At 38.0% G+C, this 22,274-nt stretch overlaps 2 protein-coding genes across 6 annotated transcripts in view, besides 3 other annotated features; one reads left to right on the plus strand and one right to left on the minus strand.

The window, feature by feature from the left end:
* Positions 1-10,993, minus strand: part of EXOC5 (exocyst complex component 5) — a 68,399-nt gene extending 57,406 nt beyond the window's left edge. The window contains exon 1 of one of the 3 annotated variants that reach the window (NM_006544.4): positions 10,710-10,993. In NM_006544.4, coding sequence (NP_006535.1) covers positions 10,710-10,736 — 27 coding nt within the window. In that variant the 5' untranslated portion in view covers positions 10,737-10,993. Of the gene's footprint in view, positions 1-10,334; positions 10,455-10,595 lie in introns of those variants that run through there. The other 2 variants (XM_005267272.4, XM_047430882.1) reach the window with 2 other exon arrangements.
* Positions 10,424-10,483: a silencer, noted in NCBI's record as "silent region_5791". NCBI's record gives its function as "represses an Ori minimal core promoter by ATAC-STARR-seq in GM12878 lymphoblastoid cells {active_cell/tissue: GM12878}" and the evidence as "EXISTENCE:reporter gene assay evidence [ECO:0000049][PMID:35858748]".
* Positions 10,793-11,376: an enhancer, noted in NCBI's record as "NANOG-H3K27ac-H3K4me1 hESC enhancer chr14:57735423-57736006 (GRCh37/hg19 assembly coordinates)". NCBI's record gives its function as "activates a minimal SCP1, AML or CMV promoter by ChIP-STARR-seq in naive H9 embryonic stem cells {active_cell/tissue: H9 hESC(naive)}" and the evidence as "EXISTENCE:reporter gene assay evidence [ECO:0000049][PMID:30033119]".
* Positions 11,024-11,223: an enhancer, noted in NCBI's record as "active region_8438". NCBI's record gives its function as "activates an Ori minimal core promoter by ATAC-STARR-seq in GM12878 lymphoblastoid cells {active_cell/tissue: GM12878}" and the evidence as "EXISTENCE:reporter gene assay evidence [ECO:0000049][PMID:35858748]".
* AP5M1 (adaptor related protein complex 5 subunit mu 1) overlaps positions 11,059-22,274 on the plus strand; it is a 29,772-nt gene continuing 18,556 nt past the window's right edge. Inside the window, exons 1-3 of one of the 3 annotated variants that reach the window (XM_011536940.4) lie at positions 11,059-11,476; positions 15,797-15,838; positions 16,332-16,977. In XM_011536940.4, the coding sequence (XP_011535242.1) occupies positions 11,403-11,476; positions 15,797-15,838; positions 16,332-16,977 (762 nt within the window). In that variant the 5' untranslated portion in view covers positions 11,059-11,402. The remainder of the gene's footprint in view (positions 11,477-15,796; positions 15,839-16,331; positions 16,978-22,274) is intronic. The other 2 variants (NM_018229.4, NR_026895.2) reach the window with 2 other exon arrangements.

Consider the following 22,274-nt stretch of genomic DNA (forward strand, 5'->3'; position numbering starts at 1 on the left):
GGCTGACAAAGGTTTAGCTTCACTTTGTTTTGCTATAGTAATCAAAAGCAAAAATTACCAAGCCAAAACAAAAATCTAGAACTATGCACTAAGATACTACCATATGAAATTTAGCTTTACATAATTGGTTGTTATATTGCTCCATTAAACTGATTTTATATGCTTTACAAATGTTACCAATTGTAACATTAAAATATGATGTTTGTCATTGTGAGAGACAGTGTGACGATTCCTCAAGGATCTAGAATCAGAAATACCATTTGACCCAGCAATCCCATTACTGGGTATATACCCAAAAGATTACAAATCATTCTACTATAAAGACACATGCACACGTACGTTTACTGCAGCACTATTCATAATAGCAAAGATTTGGAACCAACCCAAATGCCCATCAATGATAGACTGGATAAAGAAAATGTGGCACATATATACCATGGAATACTATGCAGCCATAAAAAAGGATGAGTTCATATCCACTGCAGGGACATGGATGAAACTGGAAACCATCATTCTCAGCAAACTCACACAGGAACAGAAAACCAAACACTGCATGTTCTCACTCATAAGTGGAAGCTGAAAAATGAGAATACATGGACACAGGGAGGGGAACATCACACACCAGGGCCTGTCAGAGGGTAATGGACTAGGGGAGGGACAGCATTAGGAGAAATACCTAATGTAAATGAGGGGTTGATGGGTGCAGCAAACCACCATGGCATGTGTATACCTACGTAACAAACCTGTACGTTATGCACATGTATCCCAGAACTTAATGGTATTTGTGGTCATTTCTACTGAAAAATCTCTTGGATGTCAATCCCTTGGACAGGAACATAAATCCCTAATTAAATAATGTTGCTTCCTTGACACAAATTCAATTTTTATATTTTCTTGTATCTCCATTCCCAAAAGCAGATCCAATACAATGTGTTGGAACCACCCAAAAACTCAAAGAAGCTAGGATATTTCCCCCAGCCTAGGTAAAAAAAATAAAGTAAGTCTCAGATCGTTTCAGAGAGATATTTCTGTATCTTGTTAAACCAACTAACCCATCGGTTCAAAAGTACTGCCTATCATGTATTTTCCTTAAATTTATTATGGATACCACTGTCTAACAAATCATTAAAACACTACCTCCTTTTAGTGAGAAACTTCCCTATATAATTCCTACTACACTATCAAATTCACACACACTTTTCTTTTTTTTTTTTTGAGATACAGTCTCACTCTGTCACCCAGTCTGCAATGCAGTGGTACAATCTCGGCTCCGCCTCCTGGGTTCAAGCAAGTCTCATGTCTCAGCCTCCTGAGTAGCTGGTATTACAAGTGTGCGCCATCACATCCGGCTAATTTTTATATTTTTAGTAGAGATGGGGTTTTGCCATGTTGGCCAGGCTAGTCTCTAACTGCTGGCCTCAAGTGATCTGCCCGCCTCAGTCTCTGGAAATGCTCGGATTACAGGTGTGAGTCACCACATGCAGCCAAGTTCACACTCTTATATCTACCCTTTAGGGTTCTTATCTTGTACCACCTACCCAAATTTCTCTGTACCTCAAAACAAACAGCCACACTTCCGTCAGACTATTCCAGTCTTCTTTTCAAGCCCATGCTACTCCTGCTTCCTAACCTGTGGCCAGGTAACTCACCCCACCAAGTATGGCCTTTCTCCTCCAACAATTCAAACACTGCTATACCATTATTCAAAGCCTGGCTCTATTCCCGTTTCTTCTTTGAAGGGTTCCTTCCTTACATGGTCTCCATTAATTTCTCCACTCTTAAACCCCTATGAAGCTTAAAAATTCAAATCCCAACACAGAACATTACTAATTGTCATTTTGTCATTTATTGATTTAGAATCATTTTCATAAGTTTCACTCTTTTCTCCATACTTAAATTGAAAGCAAGGGGATGCTGTGTCATACATTTCTCTTGCTTTCCAGCTGTAGTCAACAGAACAATGCCGAGCATACCAAAACACTAGCTAGTTGGGGCCATGGCTGAAACCCCTGCAGAGGGTCTTGAAAGTCATGCTCTTGATCCATACATCCAAAACCAAAAAGGCAGGACCACCACCCCACAACCCAGAAATAAAGAACAGGCATTACATGGTACTATCAATCAAAGATTCTAACAGAAACCAAATATGAGCCTAATACAATTCTGGCACTACAAAGAACTAAAAGAATTTTATAATATTCGGCCTCTACTTTCTAACCCCATTTTCTTTGATTTTTCAGTGAGATTCTTTACGTGTTTTCTGTATATTAATAAATAAGTTATATTTATTGAATACTGAGTTTTTAAAAAAGCACCACAAAATATTTTGTCTCAGGCTAGCAAAATGGATTTCAAAGGTAGTATGAAAAGGTAGAAAAATAAAGCTCATTAAGACACTAATATAACTAAAGCAAACTTTGAAAAAGTATTTTGAAAACTACTTGCACAAACACTACAAAATAAATAATTTTACTTTTTAAAATTAGTCAATGTTAACATTCAATCTTGAAGCCCTTTAAACTATGAAATTAGCCAATTAATCATGTTATCAAAATTGTTTTGAAGACTATTTAAACGATGGTAGTTTAGAATCTTACAAAATATTTTAGATTCTCTTAAGCAAAATATTTTTCCAGGATAGAATATATCTCATTTCGAACAGTAAAGTTATATATATTATGTCTATGTCCAAAAGGGAAAGGTAACAAATGTTACAATTCCTGTTACACTAGTCTCAGCAGAATCATATAATTAGATTTAAAATTCGTAATGCAAGAATGTTCTTTAAATATCATCACAGCCCAGCTCTTTCATCTCATTTTTATAAATAAAGAAACTGAGGAAATGAAATTTAAGTCTTATCAAGGTACTAAACCAGGATTCTAACCCAGATATTTTTCCCACTCTATTATAGTGCCTTTAACATTTATAGACTGTGAAATTACTTTAAATATTTAATAAAATCTGCCATTAGCATTTCAAATCAAATTAAGTGTATTGCCAAATACACACGTTAAATATTCTTACAGGCATTTAATAGACACCTTGGAAATGAAATTAAACAAGTGAAAGAATCATTTGCTTCTTTCGTTTATTATAACTTGAATAAGCAAAGATATGTAAATAACTATATTTTCTCATTTTCAAATTTCGGCTTCAAGGAAGTAACATCAGAAAAGTTTGCTAAGTTTTAAAAATATATATATACATAAACTATTGACAATCAAACTTTTAAATTATTTATCACTCAACTAGAACTTTCGTTTAATTTGTAGGTTATGTTTATTTGCACGGTGTTACATGAAATTGCAATCCACTTTTAAGAGAACAAGGCAATCAATCACTCTTTCAAATCTCTCTCACACATGTGGGCACACACACACCTCAACTATCTAATTTCCTGGGAACACCAGGGACTCAGTATTTTAGATTAATTACACACATGTGCAGTCTATAATACTGTCCTCAATTTAATGACTTGCTTATTCCAAAAGTTCACTTCCAAGTTGCTTGGACTGGAGAACTCCAAAGCATAAAATACTTAAATGGAACTCTATTACTCTTAAGCATCAACCTCTACCTCTACCACTGTCTCCACTAAGACCAGCAGAAGGCTATTAGATCTTGGTGCAGGTAAGAAATTGATCGGCCTCTGTTACAGTTATCTATTGCTGCCTAACAACCACTCAAATAGTTAGTGGCCTAAAATAACAATAATCATACTGTTCACAAATCTGATTGGAGGAGGGCTCAGCAGGGAAACCTGGTCTCTGCTCCACATGAAATAAGCTGGGGCTGCTCAACTTGGCTAGAAGATAGTCTTCCAAGATGGCAAGTTGGTGTTTACTGTTAGCTGGGAGTTCAGCCAGAGCCAAGGGCAAAGGGCCTTGGTTCTTTCAAAGGGCTGCATGGGCTTTCTCTTGGCATGGCTGCTAGAGTCCAAGAGGTTACCTAACCTTGCAAATCACTACATAGCATCACTTCTATAGTCATAGGCCTGTACAGATTCAAGAAGTGAACACAGAACCTACTTCCTATGGGAGGGGCATAAACATCACAATGTAGGATGGCAGATCTTGTGACCATCCTGAAAAATACAACCTTCCACAGCCCCTTTTTGTAATCCTCTCCTACTATAATCTCCTACTTCTTGGATCATTTACTCTGAGTCAACTGAGACTGAGAAGGCTGAAGTGTTCCCTCCCTGATAGATCTCTAATCTAGTTCTCATCTCAATCCACTTAAATTGAAAGTGGCCAACACCTAATTTTTTAAAATGGATACTACTCTCTTAATAGTATGCTTCTAAGCAATTTAAATTTCTCAACTCAATTTAGTCATCAAAAAAACCTTCTGAAGTAGATACCATTATTTCCCCCATTTTACAGATGAGAAAACTGAGGTACAAAGAGGTTGGGTAACTTGCCAAGATCACACAACTAGTAAGAGGCAGAGCTGAGAGATGTCTTCCACCTCCTGGCTAAATTACCACCCACATAAAGTGATACTTCCTAAACTGCTATGTCTAACTGTGATCTCTTTCTGAGTTACTAATTCATATTTCCATTTGCCTTGTGGACTTCTTTACCAGGATGTCTTGCTAAAAACTCAAAGTGTAAATACATATGTGTGTGTGTGTGTGTGTGTGTGTGTATATATATATACGTATATATATACACATATATTAAGTATATATATACATATATGTATATATTTATACATTAAGTATATATACATATATACATATATACATAAGTGTATATATATACATTAAGTATATATGTATATATATATGTATATATATGTGTGTGTATATATACGTATATATGTGTGTGTGTATATATATACTTAATGAATATATTATTTCTTCCCCCTGCAAGGGTCCTTCTAATTTTCTCTGTCACAGTTAATGAATCACCAACCACCTACTTTTCAAAGTTTACAAATTTGGAATTTTAACTCCTCAGTAATCAAATTCCTTTAATTCTTCCTCCAAAATTCTTTTCAAATTTCTTCTCTGTCACCATTGAATTAGGTTAGACTTTCATCTGGCCAGATTAATCAGTCAACAGATAATTCTGGAACACTTACCAAATGACAAGAACTATGTCAGGTTGCCCACGATCCCTATTTTCCCAGCTAACAATTTCTTCCCCCATAGAAGGCCATTCTTCACACTAACATTAAAATTGTCTGTCTCCCTGACCCTTACCCAAAAAAAGTAAGGTCAGCCCTCTTGCATGAGGTATAAAAAGCCTTCTTAAAACTTCCCCCAGGCTGGACCCAGTGGCTCATGCCTATAATCCCAGCACCTTGGGAGGCCCTAGGTGGGAGGACCACTTGTGTCCTGGAGTTGGAGACTAGCCTGGGCAATACAATGAGACCCCGTCCCTACAAAAAATAAAAAATTAGCCAAGCATGGTGGCACATGCCTGTAGTCCCAGCTACTCAGGAGGCTGAGGTGGGAGGATCGCTTTTGCCTAGGAGGTCGACGCTGCAGTGAGCTGTGATTACACTACTGCACTCCAGCCTGGGTGACAGAGCAAAACCCTGTCTCAAAAAACAAAAAAACTGGCCAGGCACGGTGGCTCACGCTTGTAATCCCAGCACTTTGGGAGGCCGAGGCAGGTCGATCATGAGGTCAGGAGTTCGAGACCAGCCTGGCCAACACAGCGAAAGCCCATCTCTACTAAAAATAAAAAAATTAGCTGGGCATGGTGGCAGGCACCTATAATCCCAGCTACCCAGGAGGCTGAGGCAGGAGAATCGCTTGAAACCAGAGGCAGAGGTTACAGTGAGCTGAGATCACGCCACTGCACTCCAGCCTAAAAAAAAAAAAAAAAAAAAAAAGCAAAAAAACAAAAAAACTGCCCTCGAACTCCTATGGTCTCAATGCCTTGCCACCACTCCCTATTCTTAAAATATGCACATACACATCCTAACTCTTCTCAACTGCCTCACCTTACAACAAACTGGAGCCATCTTGTGTCTCTGCCTTGGAATGCCCTTCTCCTGTCTGAAAAATCTCTACTCATCCATCAACATCCAATTTCTATATGCCATTACTAAATGAAACCTTTCCTAATAATCCCTGGAAAAGATTCTATACTCCCACTGCGCTGTATTAATGTATTAACATGTCTGTCTTCCTCAACCAGATGCTTAACTCAACATCTTTTAACTCTAGTACCTGGAATGTCTGGCCTACAGATTCATTCAACGTTTGCAGAATGAATACATTCTATCATATCCATGTTACTACAATTGGTAGCCAAGGTCTATAAACACTTAACAACTAATATGGTTAAAATAAATAGCATTTCAGCACCTTGACAGTAACGGGGTGCTCCTTACTTGTGTATCTCATGTTCGTTAGTATATACCTGGCTAGCTAATTGAACAAGAGACATCATTTTCAACAACTCTGTTTAACTAGCTTTTGTAATTTAGTTTGAAAAATTAAGAGACAAATAAATGTGGGAAAAGGTGTTCTTCAATATTCATACTCTAATTTGGAAGTCAAACAGCCATTGCTATCATAGCCAAATTACCTGACCTCAAGCACTATTATCAAGGAACCTATATTTACAGAAAGAAAAAAAAATGAAATTTTAATCCTGGCATTTAGGACCTCCAAAATTAAACCCCGATTTACCTTACATGCCACTCTTCCTCTTTATGTGTGCTATATATACTCCAGCCAAAATGAATGCTCCCCTTATCTCCAGGGCCTACAACCCTCCCTTTATGTCTTAGCTTTTATTGTCTGCTTTACTGAAAAGTCCCTCCATCCAGTTCCACAAACTCAAATCTAATTTATCCTCTGTAGGTAATTCAAATGCCACCTTCTAATCCTTTCTTTCTTCTAGAGGCAATCTTCCCATCCTCTCAACACCTATGGCACATCTAGACCTCTTTGAAACCATTTATAACCTTATTTTTAAGAGTATAGTATCATATATCCACCTTCTCTCCCTCTATTTGATAAGGACAAGTTCTATACTTAATTCTATTTTCCAAAATATGTACCTTGTAATTCACAAAATTAAGTTAACAAGCAGTAGAAAATAAAAGTCTCTTTAAAAAAGAAAGAAAACAGTCTCATGGTGAAAAAAGTTGGGGAAATGGACTTCTCATCATCTTTAACATATTAAGGTATACCGCAAATCTCCAACGAAACAGACTATGCTCATTTCCATAACTTACTTGGTCACTGAACCCTTTTTTTTTTTTTTTGCGACACATCTCATAGGATTAATATTTCTATGGCATGCCCTTTGAGACATGCAGCCTCGTCAATTTCAGAACTTTATCTTGAACTTAAAAGGTACTCAACAAATATCTGTAGAATGAATGAATAATTAACCCTAGTTACTAACCAAGAACTCTCCCGTAATGGTAGCCCAAACAGAGAAAAGCGAAGATTCTTGAAGAATTATGGGGGAAAAAATTAAGCAAATGAGGAAAGAATGTCCTCAGTAGTACAATAAAAGGAGAGAGGAACATTTGCAACAACATAAAAAGAACTGGCGGGGCACGGTGGCTCACACCTGTAATCCCAGCACCTTGTGGGGCCAAGGTGGGCAGATTGTTTAAGCCCAGGAGATCAAGACCAGCCTGGGCAACATGGTAAAACCTTATTTCTGCAAAAAATTTTTAAAAATCAGCTGGGCATGGAGGCAGGCACCTCTAGTCCCAGCTACTCTGGAGGCTAAGGTGGGCAGATGGATTGTGCCAGGAGGGTAGAGGCTGCAGCGAGCAGTGATTACCCAACTGCACTCCAGCCTATGCGATAGAGCAAGACCCTGTCTCAAAAACAAAGAAAAGGAATTTCTGAGCCCAGCCACTTTGTATATGTAGAAGATACAATTTATCTACACCACATAAGAATCCTTACTCAGAATGTCTATCCTGAGGAGATTTTAAAACACTGTACATGGATCTTTTCAGAAAGATCTGTCAACAAAAGTTGAAACTAAGAAGGTATTCTGAGAAACTTCCAGGATATACACTATTACAATAGCCAAATCATCTATTACTAAATCATTTCGGTCAACTGAGGAAATATATTACAGTTTGATTTTGTTATATGAAGTTGTTTTCATTGAGAGTCATGGGACCAATAAGATTTTAAAAGAAGCAGAGTTAACATAATGAAATGTCATGGATTCAAAAGCTTAATTTTGTTTTCATTTAACTTCTCCTAACATGAAAAGTGAAAGCATAATTCTATTTAACAGTGCATGAAAATCAGGATGCATAAAAACCAAACATCCTTGACTACATCCTGCCTTCCGTTTTCCACAGTTCTCCAGCTGGGACTAAGAAAGGGAAGCAGGAGAAAAAGATACTTCCCGTGACTCTTACTACAACCTAGATGCTATGGCAGTAGTTACAGGAAACTGAGCAGTGACAGGATTTTTTTTCCTCCTCCCTCCAAGGCCAAGAGATCAACTTTTCACTTGGGGATGAAAACTTACTCAAGAGTAGAGTCCACTGTAGGGCTGGATTCATAGCAGTACCAGAAAAGATAAATGCACTTCTTAATTATAACTATTGAAACTTAATTGTAACTATTATGCTTTTAATTATGATGAAGCAACAAGCTACATATAGTCAAGAAAAAAAGTCACGTCAGTTTTAAGATCTATAAATACGTTTAAATTTGTCCTAAAAACCCTCTGGCCTAAGGGTAGTCTAAGGGCTACTGTCTCTATTATCACAGAATCTTACTGGCTACCATGTAACTAGAGTCACTAAATTACATTATATATATGTATGTTATATATACGTTATATATATATATGTGTATGTGTGTGTGTGTATATATATATATATATAAAACGTATATATATACTACTTAACCTAATAGCAGGACCCCAGAAAGCAAAATATATATTTCCCCACCTCCTCCCCTTCCCCGCTAGGGAGAGGGGAAAAAAAAAAATCAAACATATTTCCAAATAAGTTACTGAAATCATGTGGTCAAACATTTAAATAAAAATATACATAAGATGGTCCAAGGTACAACTGGAACTGTCAAGCAGGATTAACTCAAAGGATAATGTCTTATGAACTGTATGACAACATATATAACAGTTTTCAGTTAAGAGCTGGCTTGCCGGCAAATACCTTAATTAAAGATCTCATACAACTTCATCGTTTTCTCCCTTTTTAAGATGTGAAAAATAAAACAAGGAACCACAGCACTACTTAGTACCTAGGGACACAGTAAAAGTTCCTAGCAGGAAAAATGTCTCCCCGTTCTTGTGTCAATAAACAGATGGCACAATTTTGGAATTACAGAAATTAATGTAGCATATCTCCCAACACTTAAGTGAGAAAATACAATATCTCTGAAGTCTTTCTTGTAATTACAATCCTTCATTCACAAATTACTGTCTTATTACAACTTATTATAACAATAACATATATTACTCCTCTCAAAAAAAGCATTATCTATCCAAAAGCTGACTGATATGCAAAATATAGTAACAATAACAAATGTAAATTTCCATTTGTTATTAAAACTGTGGCATTCAAATTGTAAGCCACAAAAACTGCTGAATCTTACGCAGAAAAAGGATACCATTTTCACTTATGGAGAAGTTCCCTATTGTGGATTACAGTCTTCTCAATTATTACACTTTTGTTACTCAATGTGAAACACAAGCACACACACAAAAAAGGGGTCTTTCTTTCCTTTTTCTTATCCGTTTTCATTTCTTTCACACAAGGAGATGCTTTATACGTGTCATTGTTTTGTAGCCTAATTAGAGTTTTCCTATTCTATTATCTCAAACTTTTATCACAGCTTCTTACAACGGACTTCACGAAATTAAATTTTAAGGTTTAGATACTGTAAACGCTCGAGGAAAGACATTAGTATTCTCACTATTACATATTAAGGATTCTCTAGCTTGCAGTTAGGTGATTTTATAATACATGTAAATGCATATAATACACTTAAGGTGCATTATATACATGAAACGAAGTGTTCGTTTTATTTTATAAACTTTTTTTATTTTATAATACACGTAAATGCCTCGAGTGTATTATTATGTATTACATGAAATAAAGTGTTCACTTGAATTTTGCCTCCCTTCAGTCTATCTCTCTTCAGTCGAAAGAGATAAGTAGGCCTTTATTGTCCAAAAAAAAAAAAATTGTCCCAGCCTTTTCAAATGTCAGGTTAAACTGGCAGTCCTATGAATGCCACCTGCAACCTTACTAATGGAATAATTACTCAAAACGAGAAGCCCCCAAGAGTCCCGATCTCAAGTGGCTTCCTCCTATTATTCCCGCGAGGACCCCAGCGACAAGACTCGCCCAACCTGAGGCTCCTGGCTCTCTTTCCTCGTCCTGAGTCAGCCCTTCCCACTACTCATCCGGAGTAGACATCTTCCAACACCCGAACCTTCCAGACTTTCCCTCTTGCCCCCACAAACAAAAGCAACCCTCCTCCCTTGGGACACCCGGCTTCCCCTCTCTGCCGACCGGCCGCCCAGCCCACCTCGGCCCCAAGCACCCCTCCCCCATTTCACGCTCCGCCCGCGCTGACACGGAGCTGCCACCCCAACCCTTCTGTTTCGCACCTCTCTCCCGAGGGCTCCTCCTGGGCAGCCAGCAAACGCCCGCTCCTCGGCCCGCCCACCCAGCTGCCTGCAAACCCCGGGCCTGCCACTCCCTGTAGAGCCGCCGGGGCCCACCTCGAAGAGCTCGGCCGTGGTAGCCATCCCGGCCGGCTGAGAGGCTCGCCCCCCACTGGATGCCGTCTCCGCTTCACATGCTGCGCCTCAGAGGCGCGGCGCACAGGTCTCCGCTCGGCTCGCCAGCTCCGGCTCCGGGCCGCTGCGGGCTCCCCAGCTCCCCACAGATCCCAGGAGGGGCGGGAGAGCGGCCATGAAGCGAAGCCGCAAACGCTTGTCAGCTGCCTCCCGGCGCCGCCCGCGCTGCTCCCATTGTCACCGCCTCATACGCCGGAAGTGGAACTGCGCGCGCCAGGGAGGTTGTCGGGAGGGGCCGGCGAATAAAACGAGCGGCGAAAGAACCGAAAAAAGGCTCGACGCTACCGTGTATGAGGAACTTTGATCCTTGCGGGCCACCATTCCGGAAGTAGAATTTAGAGGAAGAAAATACCGGAGTTGCAGGGTATAGGTAAATTTCTCAAGGTTATAGGTTGGGGTTCTTAGAACTTTTTGTGGTGTGTGTTGGCCTAGAGCGACTCAGAAGCGTTAGTGACTTCACCTAAAAAAGCTAACCTCTCTGCTGAGCGCGACCGGTATGCGGCGCAGGATGAGCCTCAGGGCTTCTGTTAAGAGTCTGTCTGAGAAAGCCGGTCTGCGCTGTTCCTCGGTGGCGACCTTAATTATGAGATGAGCTAATGCTTTACTGACTTAACCATGGCGCAGCGGGCAGTGTGGCTCATAAGCCACGAACCGGGAACTCCACTTTGTGGCACCGTGAGATTCTCCAGGTAAATGCAAATCTGAATCCTCAGGGATGATGGATCAGAAGATCGATGAAGTAGCATAGTTTTGTGGTGCTTCGTGGCCCAGGTTTGCCACGAATAGCTGCGTGACCTTGGGCTAGCCAGTTAACAGACCTCTGTTTCGTCTGTTAAATGGAGATTTTAATAGTCCTACCTTACAGTGTTGTGAGAATTGAGTTGATGACTGGTACATATTATTTACGGTATATGTTTTCTATTAGTATTGTGTTTTAAAATGACCTCCGTCTGCTTAGAATTAAAATGGAGATGACTAAGGGAACGGTAGAAAATTTACTGAGCACTAAACATTTTCAGATTTTTCAACATGCATTGACAAAATCGTTCCAGAACATTTTAACTTATTCTACTGAAAAATCCATGCTAAGTTATATCAGACTTTTATTTTTTTGTTTTTATTTTTTTGAGACGGAGTCTCGCTCTGTTCCCCAGGCTAGAGTGCAGTGGTGCGATCTCCGCTCACTGCAAGCTCCGCCTCCCGGGTTCATGCCGTTCTCCTGCCTCAGCCTCCCGAGTAGCTGGGACTACAGGCACCCGCCACCACGCCCGGCTAATTTTTTGTATTTTTGGTAGAGAGGGGGTTTCACCGTGTTAGCCAGGATAGTCTTGATCTCCTGACCTCGTGATCCGCCCGCCTTGGCTCTCAAAGTGCTGGGATTACAGGCAGGAGCCACCGCGCCCCGCCCAGGCTTTTATTTTTATCTTGTTAATATGTGTCAATGGTAGAAATCATCAGTTTACAGTTCCTAATTGTTGAAGAAAATAGAAACACAAAAAAATGTATTCACTATTTCATATATTGTGTTAAGTTGATCTGGTCCCACTATTAGAATTTGCCCTGTGTAATCAAAATAGCTCTGTTAAGGGAATTGTACAGTAACTCATTGTAAAATGTTGGTGGCAATCGAGTGGGTCTATTTCACCTTTTATTCTCTGGCCATTGATAGTTCTTTTTTGTCACAATTCGTTCTTCCCTGAAGAAAGCTTATAGTGAAGTAGTACCATAGTAGAATTGAGATTGAGGCAGAAAAAAAAGATTTTAATTTTAAATGAAAATTGGTTGGCAATGGGGATATGAAAAATTCCTTCTTTGCAACCTTAACAGTTTTTGTTCCTGAGGGCATCAGAGTTGGAGTTTACCATTTCCCCCCAGGATTTCTGGCTGACACTAACCCCAACATTTGTTGTTGGACCTCAAATACAGGAGATTAATAATATTCTTTAGTACGTGGTTTTACCAGGCGCATCAGTCCGTACAAAGTATCTCTCATTTTACTTATATTCCCTTTGGTTACCTATTTCTAACTGCCGTTCCCTTCCCACTGACAGATAACTCTTAACATCTTCGATGTTACTCTTTTTCATTGTATGCATTTTTCAAATTACATAATTAAGTGTGCTTTAGACTTCACTTCCTAATGTTACATTTGTCACATTTCTCAACACTATTTTAAAGAAACATCCATGATACTTTGTGTTCATCTAAGGCAGCATGTCCAATAGAATTCTCTATGATGATGGAAAGGAGAAATGTTCTTAATCTGTACTGGCTAATACTGTAGCCACTAGCCACAAGTACCTATTGAGCTTTTGAGCTGCAGCTAGCATAACTGAGGAACTCAATTGTTAATTTTGGGTAATGTTAATTGATTTTTATTTAAGTTTAAATAGCCACATGTGGGTAGTTCTACTATGTTGGACAGTGCAAATCTAGGCCATTGTTTCTTCTTGCTCTGTAGTACTCATGGTTCACATCCTACACATTTACCTGTCCCCTTTACCTAGTGATGACCTCTCCCAAATTTGCCTCCAAAGAACACTGCCAAAGTATGCATCCTCAAATCTGTCCATGGGGCATGTCTATGCCGATTTTGACTAAAGACTGCCAAATAATCTGCTCCACAGAATGCTTTCAGCCACCTACGCACTCACTAGCAGCAAGAAGGGGTTCCCGTATCTCCATTCTTTCCTAACATGTAATTTTTGCCAATAAAGAACATCTTATTTTCGTTTGCATTTCTGTATGTAGCAATGATTGTTAGTCCTTTAAGTTTCCTCTACTGTGAATTGCCTGTACATGTCTTGTCCTTTTTTTCTTTGAAAGTTGCTTATTTTTTCCTCTGAATTTGTAGGAGTTTGTTTTGTATTCTTGGTATTAGTCCTATGTCATTTTTAGATAGTACAGATATTTTCTTTAATTTACCATTGTCAATTAACTTTATGTTGCCCTTGGTTAAACAGAAATCACTAATTTTGATGCAATCAAACTAGTTAATTGCTTTTGGGAATTTGTTGAAGTTTTTTCTCACCCATATTTCCCAAAAATATCTTCCTACATTGTCTTCTCTTTATAATTTCATCTGCTACATTTAGGTCTTTAACCCATATGTAGTCCATCTTTGGATATGATGTTAAGTAGGAATCCCATTTCGGTTTTCTCTGTAGTGTGGGTCAGTTTTTCTGACATCATCTTTTAAGCAGTATGTCATGTCTTCATTAATTTGTGAGGCTACTGGTAGTGTTAGTTATGTCCCCTCATATAAATGTTGGTCTGTCTCAGTTCTAGTACTTTGTCTTTCTTGTACCAATACAATATCTGTTGCTTTGTAGCTTATCTTAATATTTCATAGAGGTGAACTTTTTACTGCTTAAGTAAATAAGTTTCTTAAATCCTAGTTTTCAGAATGTTTTTTCACTGTGTTCAGGATATTATTTCAGAATAAAAAGTCAGATATGTTTGGATGGGCTTTTCAATACATTTATGGAGGTAGCAAGTTGTGTTCAAATAATTTAATTCTGTATCATTGAATGACTTAGTTAAATTTTATTATATTTTCAGTTTTCTAACCTCTTGGGGGAGGTGTTAGAGCTACACAGATAGGCACTGACACTTTATAAGTGTCAATAAGTGGCCAATATTTAAGATTTAAGAAGGCAAATGATGTTTTCTCTATCTAAGTACTTATTTCCTATAACAAAACTTGGTTAAGATTCTGGTTTAAAGGTTTGCTTTCCAGATAATAATAGCATCAGCTTACATCTGGCTTAGGTCGGTATCATACCCCATAGTTGTAGGCCCATTTAAGCCTTGAATCCTGTTTTAGAAAAAGCATATAATAAATTAGAAATGATAGGTTGAGTCATCCAACAAAATATTTATTGAACACATATTGGGGTGTTGTGTAAGTTCCCAGATTAACTTATCTTCACAGTCAATTGTGAAATTTTTATACTTAAGAACTTTAATTACCCTCTGGAAAACTAGATAATAAGAGATTGGACTAGAGTTTAGTCCAGAGATCTCTACTATTCATATACAGAGATTTAGAGAAATAAATGGCATTTACCTGCTATGCCATGCCATTACTGGTGTGCTACCTGATTCTTCCCCTTTCTTAATCAAGAAAATGCATCAGAATGTAGGTGATATTTACCTACACATGGGTAACTGCTTTTGGGTTTTTTGTTTGTTTGTTTGCTTGCTTGCTTGCTTGGTGTTTTTCTTTTTGTTTGTTTGTTTTTTGAGATGGAGTCTCACTCTGTTGCCCAGGGTGGAGTGCAGTGTCACAATCTCGGCTCGGCTCGGCTCGGCTCATTGCAACCTCCACCTCCCGGGTTCAAGATTCTCCTGCCTCAGCCTCCCGAGTAGCCAGGATCACAGGCGTGCACCACCACAACCAGCTAATTTGTGTATTTTTAGTAAAGTCAGGGTTTCACCGTGTTGGCCAGGCTGGTCTCAAACTCCTGCCCTCAAGTGATCTGCCCACCTCAGCTTTCTGAAGTGCTGGATTAGCCATTGCACCTAATCTACATATGGATAACTTTGAATACATTCTTACTTATATTTTTTTAAAATATTAGTAAACATCAATATTTTTTAATAAAAAACTGTTTTAGCCAGGTATGTTTTTGACTGTTGGTAAAAACTGCTGATTTGTTGCCACCCCTTTATTTACAAACGAGAAAATAGGCAAAGGGAAGTTAAGTGATTTACTCAAAAGTTAACAGCTGATAAATGACATTGTTCTGGACTTTGGAGTGGAGGCAGAAGGAATGAGGAAAAGTACATATTTTGGAATTGAGAAACTGTGATCTAACAGATTTCTGTAAATAAGCAAAAGCATCTTCTGTTTCCAAGCAAAGAAAAGATAAATTAGTAACTGCTTACAGTTCAACTCAGAATATGCAAAAACATTCTGATTTTATTCTTTTTTATTATCTAAAAGTATCTTCCAGGGCCATAGAGATAAACCATTATTACTAAAATGATCTTCCATGTTTTTGTAGGGATTGGCAAGAAGACTCAGGGTACCTGTCATTCACTATAAGTTAAGTAGAATAGAACATTCCTTTTAAAATTGTACCATCTCAACTAATGAATCCAAAATTATGGAGGGTTAAATTGAACCACTTTGTTAGCCCTACTCTAGCTACTAAGATAGAATCAGAAGAAAAAAAATTCTTATAGATGCCTAAAACGGTTCAAGTATATACTCCTTGCTGACCAAGATGGTATCTGAGTGGCTGAGAGACACGGATTTTGAATTACAATCATGTACTCTACCTAAACTAGATAACTAAATTGAATTAAGCATTTTGAATAACAGATTATATACCAGATATGAAACAGTCACTCTAATAGTAACTTAATGGTCATTATAATTTTTTGGTTGTTGGCTTTTGTGGATGTGTGTATATATTTGTTTCTCGTGTATTTTATTGTTATTACTGTTTGCCTTATATTTGAGAGTTTTAAAAAAATTCTTTCATCTTGATTTTACTTGGAAGAATCATTTATAATGTTTCTGTTTCCGTAATGCAGACGGTATCCAACTGTTGAAAAACGAGCCAGAGTCTTCAATGGAGCAAGTTATGTGCCTGTTCCTGAAGATGGTCCCTTTCTTAAAGCACTGCTCTTTGAACTTAGATTATTGGATGATGATAAAGACTTCGTTGAGAGTCGTGATAGCTGTTCACGCATCAATAAAACATCCATTTATGGACTCCTGATAGGAGGTGAAGAACTCTGGCCAGTTGTTGCTTTTCTGAAGAATGACATGATATATGCTTGTGTTCCACTAGTTGAACAAACTCTGTCCCCTCGTCCGCCACTAATTAGTGTCAGTGGAGTTTCACAAGGCTTTGAATTTCTTTTTGGGATACAGGATTTTCTTTATTCAGGTCAAAAAAATGACTCTGAGCTGAATACAAAATTGAGCCAGTTGCCTGACTTGCTTCTGCAGGCTTGTCCATTTGGTACTTTATTAGATGCCAACTTACAGAATTCATTAGATAATACCAATTTTGCATCTGTGACTCAGCCACAGAAACAGCCAGCTTGGAAAACTGGGACGTACAAAGGAAAACCACAAGTTTCTATTTCTATCACTGAAAAGGTAAAATCCATGCAATATGATAAACAGGGTATAGCAGATACATGGCAAGTTGTTGGAACAGTGACTTGCAAGGTGAGATTTTTCTCTGGTACTTGCTTTATCGTTTTATTTAACATATGGAGAAAAGTTAAATTTGCTAGTTGTATTTTAAATAACATTTTTTATTTTCATCTTAAGCAGCAGTTTTTAAATGGGAGAGTCATGTAAAATTTTATGTTATCTTTTTGCATTCCTTACCAATTATATTAGTTATCTGTGGCTGTGTAAAGAATTGTCTCATTGTCCCCAAAATAGACATTTATTATTTTCATAGTTTCTGTAGGGATTAGCTTAGCTGGGAACTTTCAGGGTAGAATCACTCATGAAGTTGCAGTCAAGTTTTCAGTTGAGGCTATAGTCATCTGAAGGTCTGACTGAGGCTGGAAGATCTGCTTGCAAGATGACTCACTCACATGGCTAACAAGTTGGTCCTAGTTATTGGAGGAAGGCCTTAGTTCCTTTCCACATGGACTTCTCAACTGGCTGCTTAAGTGTCCTCACACTTGGTGACTGGCTTCCCTCAGACCAGATGATGAGAGAGGGGTGGGGGGGGGAGAGAGAGAGGAGAGAGAGAGAGAGAGAAGAGAGAAGAGAGAGAAGAGAGAAGAGAAAAGAGAGAGGAGAGAGACAGGCAGGCAGGCAGGCAGAAGCGATTATTTTTATTACCTAGCTGGGAGGTTACACTTCCACTACTTTCTGTTCATTAGAAGCAAGTCACTAAGTGGTCCATATTCAAGGGGCGTGGAATAAGGCTCCACCTATGAAAAGAGTAATGTCAAATAACTTCAGAACATATTTTAAAGTCACCACTGCTGTTTTCCATTTTCTTTAGAGGGATGAAATTGACATCTCTGACATATCTAAAATCATGTTGAAGGGCTCTTATTTAAACAAGTCGTTAGGTTAATATTGGGTTCTCTGTAGAAATAGAAAACAGGAAAACACAACGTAAATAACAATACAGTTAGCAGTGATTAATGCCATGTTGAATAATGATCAAAAATAAAATCCTCCAGGTAAACTTCCTACAAGTTTATATTAATAGTATTCTCATTTCTTTATTTTTCTATCTTCCTTTATTCCCTGCAGTTACGTATACTTTTTATATGTCAAATTTAATGTTGTGTGGCTATGTATAAATATTATAGAATAAAACTAGAGTTCAAGAGCAGAGAATTAGAACAGTCCTGACAGAAAAATTGGGTCTGTCTTTTTTTTTTAATCCTGTTTAACGTTAAAGTTACCTAAAAGTTTTTGTGTCTATTTTAAACTCATATCTATCATGGTCAAAAATATACTCCAGTTACTCACTTTATTAGAAATAACTATTGTAAATGGCTCCAAAATTGAGGTGTTCATGGATTATGTCATTCTTAAGTTTTAAAGTAGTTAAATCTTTTTTCTCCTAAGTTCAATGAAATGAAAATAGAAAAATATGGCCTGGCGCAGTGGCTCACTCCTGTAATCCCAGCACTTTCAGAGGCCAAGGCGGGCGAATCACTTGAGGCCAGGAGTTTGAGACCAGCCTGGCCAACATGGCGAAACCCTGTCTCTACTAAAAATACAAAAATTAGCCAGGCATGTTGGAGCATGCCTGTAATCCCAGCTATTCAGGAGGCTGAGGCATGAGACTCGCTTGAACTGGGAGGCAGAGGCTGCAGTGAGCCACAATCATGACACTGCACTCCAGCCTGGGTAACAGAGCTATACTCTGTCTTAAAAAAAAAGAAAATAGGAAAATTCACCAATTCTGTTTTTTTTTTTTTTTTCATTCTGTAGCAATAAACAGGGAATATGTTATTTATTATATAAGCTAATTAATATCATGGCATTTAATGTCTCTGTTCATCGATAGGCTGACTCCAGTTTACTCTTAGGAGAATTTCAGATTGGTTCCTACTCTTAGTCCTGATACAGATTATCATGATGGACAACTTCCTTATTTAAAAAATGTTTTTAAGTGGGGAGAAAATGGGGCTATACCTTAACCTACATACTAAATGTTTCTTTAAGGTTGTATGTACATAGTATAACTGTTAGCCAAACATTCTTTAAGTACTTCAGAAAGTTACTGTTTAAAGGAATTGTATTGTGAAGCCCATTATAAATGGAAATAATCATCTTCATTTTATCCTACTCGGTAGAAAACCAGAGCCAAAGGCCAGTGGTCCAAAGTTCTAGACCTCACTCTACCACTAATTTTCTGTATGTCTTTAGAAAGTTACACAATTTTGTGAATCTTTTCTCATTTTTAAAATGAGATAAACTCTTAGGTGCCTTTTTTTTTTTTTTAAATAACTTTTACTTCTAAAGTTGGGTTACATATGCCAGATTGGTTTAAAGGTAGTACACCAATTCCTTCTAGAATGGATGTTCTCAACCTATAGTAAATAACTGATGATCCGGCATTTTAAGTGTGCAGATAGATTCATCGGCAGGTTCCATGATGGTTGATCTTTCTCTGACCCTTTACGAATGTTAAGAGATTAATTTGCTAAGTATAAACTGAATATTATTAAATTTTAATGGTATTTACTATTGATGTTTGCTTATTTTGTCTCCATAAATATCTATCAAAAGCAAAACTACTTTTCATTTATTCTTATTAGTTCACATATAGAAAATAGCAGATGGTTTAAAAGTTGAAACCCTAAAATTTTTTTTAAGTTTTAAAGTAAGATTATTTGGCATATTTATTATTAATGTGACTGACATTATTGTAATTGTCACTGACAGACCTTATAAAGGCACTAATTGTATATACTACTCTTCGTAATGCCTGCCTGCTCTGTAAGTACTTACATTGTAAAGCAGATACATAATGAATTCCCACACATGTCAAATAGTAGGTAAAACATTAAAAGTGAAACATTTCACATTAGAAATTGAAAACAAAAGTAGGTTTATAATTAGAAAAAGATAGCCACTCAGCAAACATTTTTTATTATTGTTTTCTACGCATAGAAATGTGTCAGGCACTAGAGATACTAAGAAAAATGTAACGATTCTTGCTTTCAAAGAATTTAAAGCTTGAAAAGAGAAATGGACCAGATACCTGTAGATAGTGGACAGTTAATGCGTGGTGCAATCTAATATATGATAGTGCATTAGGAGCTAAGTGTTATGCTTTGAGAGTTCACTAACTCTTAAAATATTTCTGCTGAAACAGAAGATATCAATAATTCTTATGGGGCCCAGTTGGTCAGTTTGATCCAGGCTTTAATAGAGGTGAATTTCAAGATAGAGGTACAAAGACCCTGACTACCTACACAAATACAAGTAAAGTATATCAGTCTGGTTGGGCCAGAAGAAGCCCAACCAGATTTATGGGAATAAAGATGTCTAATATAGAAATTAGGGCTTATTCAAGAAGCACTGAGGAAATAAGTCTTTGATCCTCTAGCCGTAGCCTTTCGGAAACAGTCACTAAAGACTTCAGTCTGGAGACTGGAGGAGATAGACAAATCAAAAGTTCACAAAGAAGTCTGAGAAACTGCCATATCTGTCTGTTATGACCTCACAGTGGAAATTCAAGGAAAGGTCCGCAGAAGTGCAGCATCTGGCCACTTTGGCCTTAAAGTAGGAGCTCAAGGACAGGTTTGAGAGGCTGTCCTGTCTGGCTTCAAAGAACTTTCAAGAAAAATTACTTCCTTTTTTCTTTTCCCTTGTGAATCTCTCATGAGTACCTCTCATTGGCAAACTAACCCAGACTACATAGGGAAGAAGATCCTGGGCTTCTCTACATAGCAAAGGTAGGCTGTAGAGGTGATACAGAATGTAAGGCTTCACACATAGCATCTAATGAGCTAAGACATGAAGAATGAAAGCATTTACAGGGAGAAAAGAACATTGCAGCTGCAAGGAATAGCACATGCAAAGGTGCATTTGGAGGTATAAGACAGTATGATTTATTTAGGGAAATGCAAGAATCCAATATGACTACGTGTAAGTTGCAGGGTAGAAAATTTTTAAGCAGGTAGATGAAGAAAAACAACCCCATTAAAAAGTGGGCAAAAGGCATGTACAGACCCTTCCCAGAAGAAGACATACATGCAGCCAAAAAACATGATAAAAAGCTCAACGTCACTGATCATTAGAGAAATGCAAATCAAAACCACAATGAGATACCATCCAACGCCAGTCAGAATGGCTGTTATTAAAAAGTTAAAAAACAACAGGTGCTGGCAAGATTGCAGAGAAAAGGGAACACTTTTACCGTGTTGGTGAGGATGTAAATTAGTTTAATCATTGTGGAAGACTGTGGCGATTCCTCAAAGACATTGAGGCAGAAATACCATTTGACCCAGCTATTCCATTATTGGGTATATACCCAAAGAAATATAAATCATTCTGTTATAAAGATACATACACACGTATGTTCATTGCAGCACTATTCACAATAGTAAAGACATGGAATCAACATAAGTGCCTATCAGTGATAGACTGAATAAAGAAAATGTGGTACATATACACCATGGAATACTGTGCAGCCATAAAAAGGAATGAGATCATGTCCTTTGCATGGACGTAGATGGAGTTGGAAATCATTATTCTCAGCAAACTAATGCTGGAACAGAAAACCAAACACCTCATGTTGTCACTTATAAGTGGGAGCTGAATGACGAGACCACATGGTCACAAGCGGGGAACAACAACACTGGGGCCTGTCAGTTGTGGGGGTTAGAGGAGGGAGAGCATCAGGAAGAATAGCAAATGGATGCTGGGCTTAATACCTACGTGATGGGATGATCTGTGCAGCAAAACACCATGGCCCACGTTTACATATGTAACAAACCTGCACATCCTGCACATGTACCCTGGAACTTAAAAGTTGAAGGAAAATAAAAAGGAGGTAGATGACAGTCAAACAATGAAAGGCTTTACAGGTAATACAGAATTGAAGTAGAATCACTGAAAGGATTTGAGCATGGAAAAAATATAATAAAAATTATGTTTCATTAAGATAGCTCTGGCATTAATGGAGGATTAGAGGACTGATTAGAGGAAAGCAAGTCCAGAAATATTTAGAAGGCTGTGGCAGAAATTGTAAGGGCCCATGTCAATGTGTTTCAACAGGAATGGAGAAAATTCAGCAGATTTAAATTATCTTTGTAAGAGCTTTAGAGATAAGCAATGGAGTCTATGAGGGCTCTCCTGGTCTCTGGCTTGGGTGTCTAAGAACATGATAAAACCATTAATAAGAACACAGAAAGCAAAGAGAACAATACCTAGAGAAAAGTGAGTTAATTGGGGAAAATGACTTTGATAAATTTTGAAAAGCCTCAAACAGACATTTGCTTCTGAGATTTTGGTGATAATCTTTCTGTTTG

The sequence above is a fragment of the Homo sapiens genome, chromosome 14, assembly GCF_000001405.40.
Source record: "Homo sapiens chromosome 14, GRCh38.p14 Primary Assembly".
In the NCBI taxonomy this organism is placed as follows: domain Eukaryota; kingdom Metazoa; phylum Chordata; class Mammalia; order Primates; family Hominidae; genus Homo; species Homo sapiens.